At 32.8% G+C, this 18,580-nt stretch overlaps 1 annotated feature.

Annotated features, from left to right (window-relative positions):
• Positions 12,505-12,705: a silencer, noted in NCBI's record as "peak4903 fragment used in MPRA reporter construct". NCBI's record gives its function as "represses an SCP1 promoter by STARR-seq MPRAs in K562 erythroleukemia cells {active_cell/tissue: K562}" and the evidence as "EXISTENCE:reporter gene assay evidence [ECO:0000049][PMID:32103011]".

Here is an 18,580-nt window from a genome sequence, read left to right on the forward strand (position 1 = left end):
TTCTATCAGGAAAGAGAGGAGACATCTGGGTCTAAAGAATCACTGAAATTTATTCCATTGGTTTGTATGTATCAACAAATTATTTAAAATACTTACAAATTGGTACAATCTTCTGATGATAATATATATATAAGTCTTGCCTGACTTTTATTTTTTGACCACCAAGCCTACTTGGAATTTCTTGTGAAATAAGAAAAGCTATAAACTGTTTTTGCAAGGAGAAATGTTAGCAATATTAAATGTAATCATGTTACTAGGTTGACAATATTACCTGTAAGGCAGTTATTAATTTTGATTTTGTTGCTTTATATAAACATTTTAAAACCAATTTATTTTTCACTTCCTGAATCAACCATCATCATCATACCTTCAGAAGCTTACAAAAATTAGCGCCTACATGTGTAAAGTGATCATAAAATATATACTAAGTGGCTCTGTCCGTATCCTTTGCTATGAAAAGTCCACCTGTAGGAGTCTTTACTAAAAAAAACAATAGAAATGAGTATAATAGTTAGTCTATAAATATACTTATTGTCAAATATTTATTATCTATAATAGCAAAATAATATTTTAATGAGATGTTTTATACATAAAGTTCATATTTATAATAGAATATCATGTAGTAATTGAAAGTAATTGTAGAATTTTATTGCCTACAGAACAATAATGGAAAAGTAAAATGTTAGTTTTTTTTTTGAGACCGATTGTCACTCTGTCACCAAGGCTGGAGTGCAGTGGCGCGATCTCGGCTCACTGCAAGCTCTGCCTCCCGGGTTCACACCATCCTCCTGTCTCAGCCTCCCAAGTAGCTGGGACTACAGGTGCCTGCCACTACGCCCGGCTAATTTTTGTATAAAATATTAGTTTTTTAAAACACAATTTGTGAAATAGTAACCATTTGCTGGATTCTTTTATAACATATTCATAAGTATATCAAGTCTGAAGGGTATGCATCGACATGTTTTAAAAGAGTATTAATATGTGGTAAAATGTTTTGTGGTTTTGTCTTACTATGAGCATATGTTAGTTTTTAATAAAATATTTTTCAAATTAAAGGAAAAAGAGCACTGACTAACCATCAAGAGTAAAAAAGTGATTAAAAATAAACAGAAAACTATGAACAAGAATAAGGGATTTAATTTTTACATTCTAATAATATTCCCAAGCCATTTTATTGCATATACTGTATAAACAAATTAAAATATAATTATATTAGCATTTAGTACACTATTGTACTTTTCCTTTCTTTTTCAATTTGGAATTACTTCATTCCCAAATGACTGCTTATTGATTGCTCACTCCCACCCATTCAATTTATGCCTTTCTAGTCATAGTGTCCTAAATTAAGTGTTCGTGACTTTATGCGTATTTGTTCCTTATTGAGAGTTCACACTTCTCGTTAGGGATAGGAAGCAAATGAGATTTTTATACATGAATTATGCAGCAATCCTTATTTAGTGATTTCTTCTTCAGGGACTTAACCAAGGCAGGGACTGTCGAAGTGGTACATACTTTTGAAGAAGAGTATTTTATTGCTGACATTGTTTACAATTGATAACACATGGTGGTAATACAAAGCAGACTAAAATTTAGTAGGTTTATTATTGCTTTTATATTGTCTACTGACAATGCTGCCCCAAATGGCTATTCATAATTTGAACTGCTCCCAACCCATTCCCTTAGTATACTGCTGTGCTTGTTCAAAGCATGTGTGAATTTCAAAATTCATGAATAAAATTGTTACGTGTTAATTGTGTAATGATATGTAAGCTTGTAAGCTCTCTTGAGGAGCTAAATTGGACACCTGAAACCATAATTAACTGAAGTTCCAAATTAGCAATTTGTGAATTAAAATTTATGATAAAATTGCCAATGTAGCATGAAAATCCTACTGGTCTAAAAGAATTCTGCTATTCATCAAATATTTTGTTGAGCACCCACTTTGTTGAGTTTAAAAATACAACTATAAATATGATAGCTGTGACTGCTGTTCTCAAAGAAACTTTTACAGTAAGGTTAAGTAGAGATCAGGTAAGGAATTCTAAGAGTTTTGAGTTCTAGTTAAGGTAAATATTTAGTGCTACAGTTATAAAGGAAGATGATGCCAAAAGAAGAATCACATTTTAAGCTTCGGTGAGTACGGCTAACTCTACAATGTAAATACAAGGGACAATACAAAATGGTTCATAATTCAAATCTTATGTTTCAAAAATTTATTATTATTGCTCTTTAGCATGGTTATACATAATGAATTCCTAGTATGTAATAATTTAAACAAAATAATGACACTATGGAAAACCAGAAGAGCTATATGATTTTCTGAATTATATTCCATATATAAGAATCCTAGTTTCTCCTTTCTGAGAATAGCCTTTTTATTACAGATACAATATAACAAGTCCAGAGTTCATTTTCTTGATTTTTATTGGCATTGTCATTATGGTTCACACTTCCCTGAGGCCACAAAACTTCTTTACTTTGAAAAGATTTTCTTTCTATTGGATAAATGTAAATAATGATAATGTTAAATATTTAATTAATCAGAATAGATGAATTAAAAAACAGAGCAGGATTTGCCATTTAGATAGTCTGAATCCTGATACAGAAAAATGAACTCTCTCTTAAGTAGGAAAAAAGTAAAATAACAGGTTCACTGTAATGGCTTGCTAATTGAAAGTAATAATAGAACAATTAAAAATAGAATTATCTACTATAAACATAAATTTGGTGAAACAACTACTGGGGCACAAAAGCCTCTAGGAAATGCTCACTTCTTCTGGTCTATGTGGTGTGATAAACATTTATAACTTTTAAAATTACTCTTTGACTAGCAGATATGTAGTCCACATTTTTAAATTTCTATTAATTTTAAGTTGGAATTAAAATTCACATCATGAGAATGATGCATATCCAAATAAGGAACCATATGGCAGGCTTTTCTTTGGAAAAAGCTTTTCACATGCCCCAAACACACATACACTCAGTGTCCTAATTTGTGAGTTTCTTTTTAAATGTTGCTTTTTAACTCAGCATTACTGATGATTAGAGAAATGCAAATCAAAACCACAATGAGATACCATCTTGCACCAGTCAGAATGGCTATCATTAAAAAGTCAAAAAACAACAGATGCTGGAGAGGTTGTGAAGAAAAAAGAACACTTATACACTGTCAGTGGGAGTGTAAATTAGTTCAGCCATGAGGAAAGCAGTGCAGTGATTCCTCAAAGAGCTAAAAACAGAACTACCATTTGAGCCAGCAATCCCATTACTGGGTATATGCCCAATGGACTATAAATCATTCCATCATAAAGACACATGCATGCATATGTTAATTGCAGCACTATTTACAATAGCAAAGACATGGAATCAATCCAAATGCCCATCAATGGTAGAGTGGATTTAAAAAAAAAAATTCACACATATACACCATGGAATATTACGCAGCCACTAAAAAGAACAAGATCATGTCCTTTGCAGGAACATGGATAGAGCAGGAGGCCCTTTGCTTTAGCAAACTAATGCAGGAACAAGAAACCAAATACTGCCTATTCTCACTTATAAATGGGAGCTAAATGATGAGAACACATGGACCCAAGGAGGGAAACAACAGACAATGGAATCTACTTAAGGGTAGAGGGTGGGAGCAGGAAAAGGATCAGAAGAAATAACTACAGGGCACGAGGCTTAACAACTGTGTTATGAATTAATTTGTACAACTAACTATTGTGACATGAGTTTAGCATATAACAAACCTGTACATGTACCCCTGAACTTAAAATAAAAGTTTAAAAATAAAAAAAAAAAAACAACAGAAGATGTCTGGGTTTAAAAATGATGACCAAGTATATTTATCTCCTCTTTTTAATGTCTAATGTAAGAGATTTTAAAAATAGCACATGTCTAAACCTAGAACTGAGATAAATTTGAATTGACTAAGATGGCATTTCTTTCATTTTGGAAAATAGGAGCAGGAAATATAAATTAAATTAAATTATGGTAAAACAAAAATAAATACATTTTTGCATGACTGAAAAAAGATAAAAATAAAAGTCGCTTCTAGAGACTAGCAGCAACAGGTGTATACTCTGTGCAGAAAAGCTATGGTAAGCACTGATAGTGATATTTTGGTAACAATAGGTTCTATTTTTAAAATACACACCACGTATTTTCATAAAAATGTCTCATCAAGGATTATTTATGGACAAATTAAAGATATCAAATTATATATCATTTAAAAACTGAATTTGTTGCTAGTTATCTATCAATGTGTAAGAAATTAACACAAACATGCAGCTTCAAACAACACCCATTCATGATCTCACTGGTTCTGGGGGTGAGGAGTCCAGGCATGGCATGGTGACTTATTTTGTAAAGCTGCAACCCAGGTGGTAAGTTTCCAGGCTGTCAGACTGAGTGCTTCGGTTTTCATGTGGCTACTGGCAAGAGATTTCTACCGTTTTTGCCATGCGCATATCTTCATAGGCAACTCAAAACATGTGAGCCTACTTCTTCAAAGACAGCAAAGCAGTATCTGCTCACCACAAATATATTTCATTCTTTTTACTTTTAACATAAAGAACATATATTTTGTATGTTATTTGTGCCCATATTGTGTGACTTAAATCCTAGGAATGACCTAAACCATTGGATCCATATGAGAGTAGTAGTAAAGGTAGTAGTTCCTGAGATTCTCCGTTAAGAGAAAATCTACATTGGTGATAATTAGTGTGGAGATGGATGTGCTAGTGGTAGTAGTAGTGAGAAATAATTATTATAAATGTCTATTTATAGTTTAAAAACACAGTTAATGTATCTATGATATTGTGGCAGACACTGCTGCTTTTCTATTCCAAGAGACATTTCTAATCATATTTGCTCTTATAATATTTTTGTATATCACCTAGAAAGCCATGTAGTTACTTTTCTAGTCTATCTTGCCACTAGTTGTAGCCAAATTACCCACTTTTGGCACACAACAAATAAGATGATACATTTTGTGATGAGAATGCTTTGGGGAAAGCTTCTACTTTTCTGATGAAAACAGAAACCATACTTGGCATATCCCTTCTCTTTTTTTCCAGCTTGAAGGTAAAAACCATCCTGCAACATTACTGAATTTTTGAGATAATCAGAGAAATATCAGCGGTGATGCTGTTTGAGCTGCTGGAAGAATGGCAATAACATTTTATATCTGTGGTACTGGCTATTCTGTTTCTCGCAACTAAGTGAAATCTTAACCAACAGGAATTTATAATGCAAACCACAGAAATAACACCAAGCAAAGATAGCATTAAATAAATCATGGATTAAAATAATTCATAAATACGAATTTACAAAATATTAGAGGTCTATATTTTCCAAGTAGGTATCTTCTGTTAAGAGTTTTTCACTGTTTCTTAAATTAAACTCTAATGTTTATTTGAATGCCTGGGGATCTCGGTAAAATGGAAATTCTGATTCTACAGGCTTGTCATAGAGCCTGATAGCTTGTGTTTCTCACATGTTCCTAGATGATGCCAATGCTAGTTGTCCAGAATATACTGTGAGTAGGAAGTTCTAAGGAACTAATTTTTCTTGCTATCTAATTTCTTTAAATATTATTTTTTAAATTTTGTATAGAATTACGAGGTACAAGTGCAGTTTGTTTATGTAACTATATTGCACAGTGGTAAACTGTAGGTTTTTGGTGTACCCAGTACCCAAACAATTACCTTGTACCCAAAAGGTAATTTTTCAACCCTCGCCTCCCTCCCATCTTGTTACCTTTTGGGGACTCTGGTGTCTATTAGTCTATCCTGTATATCCATGTGTACCCATTATTTAGCTCCCACTTATCAGTGAGAAAATGTGGGATGACTTTCTGTTTCTCTGAGTTACCTTACTTTACATAGTGGCTTCTAGTTCTGAACATTCTGCTGCAAAAGACATAATTTCATTCTTTTTTGTGGTTCAACTGCTTTCCATGTTATAATACCAATGAAAAAGGACACTTGGTTTAGTCTGTTTAGTTTTGTTTAGTTCATTGCTGTATCTCATTGTCCAAAATGTGTTCTTTCAAGTAAGAAATGCTGAAAACTTGCTTGTTTAAGAAAAAAAAAAAAAAAAAAAGCCCAGTTGAAGTGGGTAGTCAGTACAGAAATGAGCTGCTTCCTTGGAGGGAATAAAAGCCTGATTAAAATTGGTGTAAGAGATAATAAGAACTGAATAAATGTAAGCTCTACATGTAAAAACTTCTCTGTACACATTTAGGAATGATGTGGAAGAATATCAGGGTCAAGGGAGGATAATTTTTATTTATAGCTATGTGATTTTTTTTCTAAGATGAGAATTTAGTGTGTGTTTGTACTACAATGGGAATGATCCCATGCAGAGAAACAATCTGATGTTACAGATGTAAAAGGGAAACTTGCCAAAGCATGTGAGTGTCAGGTTGAAAAGGATAGATAGATTGTAGCAAATGGGTAAAAGAGTTTTCTTAGGAGCAAGGATGGTTCACCCAGAGATACTACAGGGGAGAGTTAATGTGTGTGTACAGATACAAATAATTTGTAGTGCTGGGAAAGTATTAAAATTATCTTTTAATTTCTGTAATTCTGTCTGTGAATTAAAACAATTTGTAGTCAGCACAATGCATGGCCAGTTGTTTAAGGGAAAGGCAGGCACAATGAAAATTTTTAATAAGAATATAATATGCTAGTTAGAAACTGATATTAATAAGTACATAAGGAAAAGGATACAGCATACATTTTCTTCCTCTATATTGAGAGAGATTATCATGATTTAATTAAGATTATTATCATTATATAATATTGTATAGTTTTCATGTCTTCATCTTGTACAAGTGTCAAACACACACAGTCTATCATATTAATTACCCATATCTTAGTTTGTTCCATATATGGAACAAATCTACAGTAAAATGGCATACTATTCATTACCTTATTTAAAATTTTCTCTGACAAAAGTATGCCACATCCTAAGAAGTTTTGCATCTGTTAATTACAGTACTTAGAGTTCTTTGAATATCATAAGGCTAAGATACATTTTTTAAAAGATCATTTAATGTAAAATCATTCTTCCCCTACACCATTCTGCTTTACCTGTTGCGAGCTTCGTTGATTTCACAATTTTTAAATTGCATATTTGTTTTTTTTGTTGTTGTTGGGATGTCATGATAAGTATCACAGATTTGGTGGCTTACACACAGGCATATATTTGCTTACAATTCTGAAGGCTATAAATCCAAAGATCAAGGTGGTGGCAAGGTTTTAGTTTCTTCTGAGGCTTTTCTCTTTGACTTGTAAATGGCTGTCTTCTCCCTGTGTCTTCACATGGTCTACCCTCTGTGTGTGCCTATATGCAAATCTCTTTCTATATGGACACCAGTTCTATTGGAATAGGCCCACCCTAATGACTTAATTTTAATGTAATAATTTCTTTTTTAAAAATGTTATCTTCAAATGCAGACACATTCTTAGTGACTGGAGGTGAGGACTTTGACATACAAATTTGGGTGGTATGCAAGTCAGCCTGTAACACATACCTAAGGAATATAAGGCACTGTTTGGTGTTGTGTAAGTTACAAAGATTCAAATAAAGATACATACGACACAGTCAAGGAATGTCTTTACACAAAAAGGGACACTAAAAGGTAAAATCCAAGTCCAATATAGTTTTTCTTCAAGAGATATATACTCATTCCTCTGGGTGTTGTCAAAGTATTGATGAATATTGCCATTGCCAAATACGTAAATGTTTGTGATCCAAAAATGAATGCTTAAACAAGCACAAAGATCTATTCCATTAATGTAACATTTTAAGTACAACTTTTAAAATATATTTATATCCTTTCAATTCCTTCCAGTGGCTGTCTCTGGTCATCATACTCAGTGCTTATAAGAGGAGGAAGCAACTGTGTTTTGGGCATTTTCATTTCCTTTTCAAAGTAAAAACTTAATAGTGGTCATCGTGCTTAAAACCAAAGCAAACATGATTGTTGAATTTAAGAACAGCAGCATGTGACTCTCAAAGGCTAACTTCCTTTGAAATATATTATATTTACTTTGCTCTACGTAGTGTACATATGGTTTGCAAAACTTTAAAGAGTCACGTTGGAAATAGTTTCCATCTGGAAAGATTAAAAAAAAAAAAAACTATACTGAGGCCGGGCACAGTGGCTCACACCTGTAATCCCAGCACTTTGGGAGTCCGAGGCGGGTGGATCACCTGAGGTCCAGAGTTTGAGACGAGCCTGACCAACATGGAGAAACCCTGTCTCGACTAAAAACACAAAATTAGCTGGGAGTGATGGTGTGTGCCTGTAATCCCAGCTACTCGGGAGGCTGAGGCAGGAGAATCACTTGAACCTGGGAGGCCACGCCACTGCACTGCAGCATGGACAACAAGACCAAAACTCTCTCAAACAAACAACAAACCAAAGAACTGAACTGAGAGACACAATGGTGGGAGAATTTAGTAATTTTCAAATATAGCATACGTGGTTGTAGATGGCTCTTCTAAGTTCCAACTCACATTTAGATAGGAAATAATAGGTTTAAATTGCAGAAAGAGAAGTTGGACACTAAGAAAGCTTTTTGACATTAATGATTATGACACTGCATCATATCTTTTCTACAAACTATTTATGAAAATAATTAATGTCTATATTCTGAAAATTTTCAATATTGTTTTGCCAAAAATAACAGATGAATTTGAATTCTACTGAATATGTATTTTATTTTTAAATATCTCAGGTCCATATACAGCAAAACTAATAAGAAGAAACTAACCCAGGAAACTGATTTGAGTTTTATAAAGATGGCCTTGGTGTAATTAATATTTATAAAGCTATACTTATTTGGAATATATTGATCATATGCAAAGCACTATGTCTGACATTTAGAAAGTAAAGATTTGAACCCTTGGTGACATCTGAGAATGTTATCATGCGATTAAGTCACCTTTAAATAAGCTGGAAATTTTAAATGGAGCCTAAACAAACTATATAATGCAGTTTAGTAGAGCATAGAACATACACTAACATAGGAGGAAAATTTGTAAAAGTTTTCAAGGTATAATTCATAATACTTCCTCCTGAAATGGAAAATTTATGCCAGAGAAAACATAAGAAGGATATTTGGAAATGAACATATTTTATTTATCTTCTAACATCTTATCTGAAAATATATCTAATTTGAATAGACATGTGAGGTAAGGACAGCTTATCAGTGAACACACTAATAACAGTAAAAATAACAAAATAATTATATTACAACATTTACACAAAATGAGGGAAATTTCAACTTAAATTTAAAACATGTATTTCTTTGCCCGATAATTCTACTTGTCAGTTTCTATATTTAAAGGAACACTCAGAAAATGCAAGGAAATATATACAAGAACATTGATAGTAGCAATATTTGCAATAGTAAAAATGTCATAAATACTAAATGTCTACCAGCAGGGAAAAAGATAGTTAACCTCTAATTTATCCATGCTATGGAATACTATGCAAATTGTGTAGCTCAATGTGTATTAATATGAAAACATTGCTAAGATATACTCTTACATTTTAAAACATTGTAATTTACAGACAAACCATTACACTCTGTTGTACTACCTACTATATTTCTTATATAAGTGTTTTTATAAATGGAGCAACACATGTAATAAACTAGGAGAGAAAGGAGAGTCTTGAATTGGGTATTAAAAGACATTTTCAACTTTAATCTTACTCTAATATTAAAAATTTTACTAGTGAATATGCACAAAATCATTTGTGTAACTAAACTTAAATTATTAAAATATTGAGAATTTAATACAATTTATAGGAATTAACAGTAACATTCAAAAATTTAATTTTGAACTCTATAATTGACATAAAAATTGCACATATTTATGGGGTAAAATGTGATGTTTCAATGCATGTATGCATAGTATAATGATCAAATCGGGGTAATTACTATATCCATCACTTTAAACATTCATCATTTTTCTGTGATGACGGTATTCAAAATCTCTTATATTTTGGAATATACAATACACTGTTATTTGCTATAGTAACACTAGTGTGTAATAAAACACCAATACTTATTCTGTCGAACTATAACTTTTGGATCTATTGACCAACCTCTCTCTCTCTCAGTCATCCCTCCCCTTTAGCCTCTATAGCCTCTGGTAATCATTTTTCCTATTCTATTCTTTAGTGGTATAAAATCAATTTTTTCTGACTCCACATATGAGTGAGAACATGTGGTATTTGTCTTTCTGTGTCTGACTTATTTCATTTAACAGTGTTCTCTAGGTTTATCCATGTTGTGGCAAATGACAGGATTTTATTCTTTTTTTTAATGGCTGAATAAAATGATAACACTACCTTGTATGTGTCTTCATGTGTGTGTGTGTGTGTGTGTGTGTAATCTTTTCTTTATCCATCTGTCGATGGACATTCAGGTTGATTCTAACCTAATTCAACTGTTATAAATAGTGATGCAGTAAAGGATGTGCAAGTGCCTCTTCGTCATACTGATTTTATTTCCTTTGGATATATACCCAGTTAGGGACTACTGGATTATGTGGTAGTTTTAATTTTAATTTTACAAGGATTTTTTACACTGTTTTCTATAATAGCTGTACTAGTTTACATTTCCAATGATAGCACATAAGAGTTTCCCTTTTCGGCATCTTCACTAGTATTTGCTATATTTTTCTTTTTGGTAATAGCCATTATACTGTGTATCATTTTGGATGACAAGATAAACTAAGGTAATCCATGAATTACAAACAAATATTTATGTATTATCAAGTTCATTTGATTCATTCATTTAATAATTATTTATTAAGCTCTTAGTATGTGCCATTTACTGTTTGGTGTCTTATTTCTTTACCACTGGAGTACTTAGAGTATTTTAAACAAGAATAAACTATCCTAGTAATATTTGAGATTAAGACTACACAGGAATATTGGTCAGCTTAGGTTTTTGTTCCTATTTTTCTATGTTTCTTTACTTTCTGACTTTTCATTATATCTTTTGTGTGGTTGAGATGATGAAAATTCCTGGAGTCCTTTTCTCATCTGAAGTATTTTTTCAGGCCCTATTCAGTGGAAATGATCTGCCAAAAACATAGATAAAGAGATACATCTTTAATCTTACAGCCTGTCTCCTTGCACTGGATCAGGAAAATGATTTTTCTTTTAACAGCTGTCAGCATGCTTGACATCTGCTACAGAGGCTTAGGCTCTATTTTTATTTTTCCTATTGAAATGATACTCCAACACCTGCCCCTTTGATACTTTTAGACTGATGTGGTAAAGAACCAGGTACTTTACAGTCAAATAACTCACCATATTTCTTTTCTTTTGTTGGGTTCAAAAATAAGACTAAAAATAAAGTTTATTTTTAGCATGAGAAAAATGTGGAAATATCCAAATTACAGAAAAATAAATCATTATTTTATGAGCAATATTTCTTCAGTAAAGATGTAGCTAATGTAACTAATCTTAACATATTCAATGAAAGAAGTTCTAAATAACATTTAAACTTAACTTCTATAATTATTGGAAAAGCATTATCAGTACTTAGCATAAAGTGAATAACTATGGATTTGTCAGTTTTTTTCTGAGTAAAACCTAATGACAAATGATATAATAACTATATATAAAAATATTATAAAAGTTCATAATAAGTTTGTGAACCCTAAAGTGGTACATTTTAATATTTTTTTAAAAAGACTTTTTTTATGTGACAAGGTAAGTAAGACGGTTTAAAGAATTGGGGTGTATACATGAAGAAAAGTAAAATCATATTAAATATCAAAGGTTGTTAGGCTCATCTTCTAGCCACAGAAATGTCATTATGTATAAGGCTGCTATTTTTTGCTAAAAAGAAATATGAAAATTATGTAGAGGAGTAACATCAGAAAAAGATGATGGAGTAGGCAGCTACAAACTCCTTTCCCACATGAAAACATTTTTAAAAATGTTTTTAAATTTTTAAAAAGCAGAAAGTATCAGAAACAACTTTCTCAGAATTCTTGATAACAGTTAAAGATTTATAACCAAGCATGGTAGCAGTCTTGTAATGGCTACAGACCATGTTTCCAGTGTAGAATTTTGACCTTTGGTTTTGAAGAAAGCAGAACAGACCTTCTTCACAAATTATTCACAAATTATAACTGTAGTAACTTGTCTGGGGTCTAGCTAAAAAACTGATGCAAGGTAGTCAACTTTGTTTTTCCTAACTTGGAACTAAGGCCAGGAATAACAACCATTGCTCAAATTTGCTGGAAATCAAACTTACAGCCCACAGATACCCACAGAAGAATAGCAGGATCAATGTGTACACTAAATCACCTACAGCCTGAAAGAAAAAGCTTGGGGAGATTCCTGTTGGAAAAATTTCCAACAGGAACCACAATGAAACTGTTCTTATAATCTTTCCTCATTACTTATTTTCAGGTTAGTGTATGTGAAATTATGCAAAAATATTTCTGTTCAAATATGAAATACAGTTAAGTCCTAGTGATAAGTTTTTTATAAAAAGGTTTATCCCTGGAACAATATCCTGTGAGTTGCTTCCTGTAGGAAGTGGCAAAGTGTTATCTATGTAAGACAGTCTTATGCATACGTGGTACACTTAGCATCCTTTGTCATCTGTGCTTGAATGTAAGAAGTCCTTGCAGCCATTCTGACAAACAAAAGTACTCTCACTAATATCTAAAAAGTGTCTTTCTAATAGGCAGTAAAAAATACACATGAAAATCACCAATTTAAGTGTATTAATAATCCTGAGAACAGCTCAGTCATTTAAAGTGAATCTAAGAATATATATATTAAAAAATTTATCTATCTATCTGTCTGTCTGTCTGTCTGTCTATCTATCTATCTATCTATCTATCTAGATGAGTATTTCATGATATAATGAAGAGGAAATTCAAATTTCAAACTATTTGCAAAATAGAGCACAAAGGGTCCCCTGGGGAGCAAAGTTGAATATCCTGAGCATCAGGTGTACTCCTGACTATTGCAATTATAAAAGGAGACTGAACCAATGATTTTAAAATTGAAATAAGAGAAATATAGCTAAGAAAAACAGTAATTAATTGGAAATGATCTTAGCATTCCAACTATATAAACATACAAAATCTTCTAATTGCATTTATTCATATATCAAAGTTGATGCTTCATAAAGAACCAACTAATTGTTCCCTGACACATATTGCAATTCTAGACTCATATTGATATTGTATAACAAACCCAAATTGTTATCTGAGAAATTATCTGGTGTTCATTAAAATACACTTAATGGATATATCAAAACTCTCAGTAGAGTTTACCAAGCCACTTTTCTAAGCAGTTAGAACAAAGTGGGATAATAGAATTTCACTTTAGTCTATGACTTCAGATATATATGAGGTAAGGGAGGTAGGGCGTTTCAGAAAATAAAAATGGAATAGGTTGGAGAGAACTCTAAATATATTTCTTATTTCAAGTACATTGTTTAGACTGCTGAAATAATGCCTGGTTAAATAAGCAATTATACCTATAGATTATTATTCCATGTGTTAAGAGGTCCCATTCAAATATGACTTACAACTACTAGTTCAGGCAAGAGAGCCACAAATAATAGATTCTAGGGTATGGTAGAGGTTGGCAAATAAAATTTTATGTATACTTATTAATAGTCTTTTTCTCAATATTACTCTTTTCCTCTATCTTAATTAAATCACATTTTTAATCAAGTCAACACCTCTAAATTTGGATTGCATCTTAAAAATTATGGCTTCTGGTATTAATTACAATACAGTAGTGTGTCAGCCTTTCCTAAATTAAATAGGCTCTTTTAGATAAAAATCCATCTTCCTGGAATTTTCTCACTACCTAAATAGACATTTGGTTCACTCAGGGCATGCATAAGGGGAGAGAGAATACCTGAGATGCACACATGAAGGATCACCTACTTTCCTCTTTGTCCTTTGGCTTTCACATTAGTGACTTCTTCAGGCTTTGGTATGGCTTGTTGGCATCTGCTATTGAAGTCTCAAGTGTTGAACCCATGGTCTCTTTGTTTGACTTTTTCAGAGATCAGTGTCTTTCCCGTATTCTTTTGATCTTGCTTCACAGGTGCTATAGACACCTTTGCCTTTCAGCCATATTCTACCTGCCCTCCGTTTAGCAGGTAATCTCCCCCACCTAGCCCCTGCAAAGCTTCTAAAATTGGGCATCTCTCTGCTACAGACAATGCTTTTGTCCCGCCTCAAATTCCAGCATTGAAATCTAATCCCCTATGTGATGGTATTTGGAGCTAAAGCCTTTGGGAAGTGATTAAGTCATAAGAGTAGAGCCGTAATGAATGGGATTAGTCGCCTTATGAATGAGACCACAGAGAGCTTACTAACCTCCTTCACCATGTGAGACCCCAAATGTGCTGGCATTCTAAACTTCTCAGGCTCCACAGCTGTTAAACTTCAGCTGTTAACTTCTCAGGCTCCACAGCTGTTAAAAAATAAATTTATTTACTTTATTAGCCACCCATTGTATGACATTTTTGATAGTATCCCAAAGAGACTAGGATAGTTTCCACTTTTCGGAGGCTCTCCTGCATGATGCTGAATCTGGGTTTTATTATGTTTTGTTGTGTGGGGCTTTGGGGAACATGGAGATACCTTTCATGCCACAGCAAGAATCAAGGGAGGTGCAGTGGAGCTAATTCATGTCCTTTTACAGCCAAAGTGCCCTATGCTGTCATGGTAGTTCTCTGCTTCTTGTGTGCCATGTTGCAACAGGCCTACCCTGTCTAGCTATCTCCTTCAAGGATTACAAACTGAAAGCCAGTATAAAATTTTGCTCTCTCATTTTTTTTCAGTTATATTTTAAACCTATTTGAGAATGCCATTTTATTTTCATAATCATTTGGAAAATAAAGAGCTTTGTATCATATGCCAATAATGCAATCATAAAATAATTATCAATGTACAAGTTTTTGATTTCTAAATTTAATTTGATGCTATAAATCTCTGGCCAATTTTGTGTTACCACAGGATGTAATTGAGTTATCTGACAACTGTTTTATAACATAAGGTCTTAAACAAAAACTAGGAGAAAAGTAGATCAACGCATCACCAAATTGATTAAGTGAAATGTGTTAGAAAAAGTGATTATTTTCTAATTTACATTTTTGGCAGTTGCCATTTACTATGCACCAGCTGAATCAGTTGAAAATCAAAAATACTGATGAATAATACAAATCAATAATATATCAATTGCATAAACTTAATAACCATGTATTAAATGTGAATGTAAGTGGCTTCATTCTTAAGAAAAAGTACGTAAGTCTAATGCTCATGAGTATAAAAAATAAAATTAAAACGTGAATTAATTTTGTATGCTCTTTTCAACAAAATATTTTTTCATCTGAATTTTTAAAAATGTTTTCTAAGGTTAAGTGAAATATAAATATAATCAGGACTGTGCTTCTCAGCATACATTTATATATCACATGTCATGTGGTATACGTCAAAATGTATTTTAGTGTAAATATTATTGGGATAAAAATACCTCAACATTATCGAGAAATTTTACTTAGGGTATTTAGAAAATGAAGATTAAGATTGACGTCTCCCCAAACTAAATGTTTATTTTTCTGATCGGTGAATTAAATACTCTGATCCAGTTGAACAGTTAACTACTCCTGTTTCCATTAGCATACATACCACCAATGTCAGAGTCAACTCTTAAAAGGAGACAATTATTTTTTCAGACAAATATATTCAGGTGGCAATGCTTCCCTTCCTTTCCAGGAACTCATTTTTTTATGCTTTGAAAAAAAACTACATGCTTATTCTATAATTTCAGAATAATTTTCACTTCAAAACATAAATTTTACAAACCACTGCCAAATAAAAATATTCTGTTTATAACATTCACAGGTATATTTCATGTCTTTTAACATGATAAGACCCTCATTTTGTATTTTATAAATTGGCTTGGCCAAGAAAAGATGGTTTCCCAAAGGAATGTCACATACACTAGATATACTTTTTTTTTTAAATCTCTCTGTTTTGGTTTATCTACTTGAAATTCTTCCCTGCCAAATGTAATGCCCCTATTTCCATAAATGTATCACTGGCAGATGTTAGTTATGGCCATTTGTATGATGTAAGAGTAGCAGATACAACATATGAAAGAATTGCTTTTCTTTTGGAAAATATTTTTAAACTTATTTGAATAGCTGCCAGTACTTAATTGCCTTAAATACATTGTCAGAAAGAACAAAAGCTTTGGGAATTTCAAATGAAAGAAAACATGCTGTTAATTTCTTAATAGTATTAGTCAATTTGCTTAAAATGGTGCACTAACTTAAAAGGAAAATAATTACTCACTCATCCCTTTAAGCCATTTTCTCATAATCTTTTGAGCCACTTTTGCAGAATAGTTCCCTGGGTGGCCTTGAACTAACTCATTCCTCCTCACCTCTTCTGGCTTGCAGTTCTTAAGAATAACTGTAGAATTTACTGGAAATGCAACATCTTGAGATAAGAGGGAATTGACTGTAACAGCCTAAGCTCTGTTCCAGTCCACTTAGAATAGGATGTCCTTCAACACTTTGGGCCTCTGTGTCACATTAATCCTGAGGCATAAAACTCAAGGTGTGCTGCTTTCTGACCCTTGGGAGACCAGCACACAATGACTCCTTGGCTTCTGTTGCTCTTTCCTGACTATCTGTAGGTAATAAGCTAGCTTCATGTAACTTCTGTGCATTGTTGTTCTATCTCACTGGACTACCAGCGCAGGGTAAACCTGCTTCACAACTTCTTGTTCACCTGTGGGTGGGAAGTGGTACACAGTAGTGTTAGAGAAGTCTTCAGTTGCTCACCTTCCTTCTAGAAGCATTTTTAAAGCTTGGAGGATGCTACTGATATGCAGATGCTCATGAGGAGGGAGGTGCAGGAAAGAATGCTTCTGCTAAATCTTTCCTATTTGTCATCGGGAATAATTAGTAAAGAAGCCCACCTTTCTCAGAAGCTGTGTCTATATAGAAAAGCGTACCAAAGATTTGTTTTTAAACTGAGTTTAAGTAAATTGTCCACTAGGATCATCTTTGTTCTGTTTTATTTTTCCTTTCCTTCTTGAATTGTTTAAGGATTTTTAAATCACCAATTATCAGTGGACTCAATCAGATCTTTGTTTTTTACTTATTTTAAATGAATTGTAATAATTTGATTCAAAGAATTGTCCCAAAATCCAAATAGTTGTGATATTTCTCAGGCAACAGTATCCACAAAGTATTTTCATCTAAAACTTTTTTCATCATAACTTTTTTCAGTTTTGAAATTTATTCAGAATTGAAATTTTAAAATTTTCATGTCACAAAGTAAGGGGAATGGAAGTGGCCTACCCATTCTTTCTCAGACAACTTTAAGGTTGTCCTCCATCTTTTTGCAAGCAAGCACAAAGTGGTTTTGTTTTGTTTCTTGCCTCATTGTGCTGTTTTACTCCTCTTCCTGGCCTAAGATTGTTTCTATCCTTCTAAATCAAATTTTTGAGCAAGCTACATATAGGAAAAAGGATAATGTTATAACCCCCCCAAAAAATCATAATACCGGAAGTATCAGAAATCTAGAATTTTAAGCACAACTTTCTGTACTATCAAATGACTACTTTTATCTTACACACTAGGACATTTTGTTTTGCCCTGTATATTGAATTTACCTGATAAGAATCCATCAGCATATTCATGTCAGTTATTTTTTTCCAAACCTAAGAATAAGAATATTGATTTTATCCCCAATTGGGAAATAAATAAGGCACTAAAATATCATGGAATTAGAAAAAAATTTAGCAGCAGTAGATGTTTTAAAGTAACATATTTCTATATAGGGGAGATAAGGCTATCTAGGACCTCATTTTCCTCTCAAAATTCTAAATTTCTTTTTGAATTTCGGAAGTTTGATTATAAATCCATAGGCCCAAATTCTAAAAAATACATGAAAATTGTTATAACACTGCTTGCATTAGGATTTACTTTATAATGAATTTACTCTACAAATATTCGTTAAAAATTAAGCGAGATTTTTACTTGCTGACATGGTTTGGATCTGTGCCCCACCCAAATATCATGCTGAAATATAATCCCCAATGTTGGAGGTCAGGCCTGATGGAAGATGGTTGAATCACGGCGATGGAGTTCTCATGAATGGCCTGGCACCATCCCCTCAGTGCTGTTCTCCTGATAGCGAATGAGTGAGTTGTCATAGGATCTGGTTATTTTAAAAGTGTGTGGCATCTCCCCACTCCCTTCCTCCTGTTTAGGTCATGTGAAGTGCTGATTCCCTGTTTGCCTTCTGTGTGATTGTAAGTTTGCTGAGGCCTCGCCAGAAGCTGAACAAATGCTGCCATGCTTCCTATACAGCCTGTGGAACTGTGAGCTAATTAAAGCTCTTTTTTAATATATAAATTACCCAGTTTCAGGCATTTCCTTATAGCAGTGTGAGAATGGATTAATATATTTGCTATTATGTAATTTGAAATTGATTTTAATTATCAATCACAAATGGCACTCAAAATTTTCTTTCTTAATAC

Source organism: Homo sapiens, chromosome 3, assembly GCF_000001405.40.
Source record: "Homo sapiens chromosome 3, GRCh38.p14 Primary Assembly".
Taxonomy (NCBI): Eukaryota; Metazoa; Chordata; class Mammalia; order Primates; family Hominidae; genus Homo; species Homo sapiens.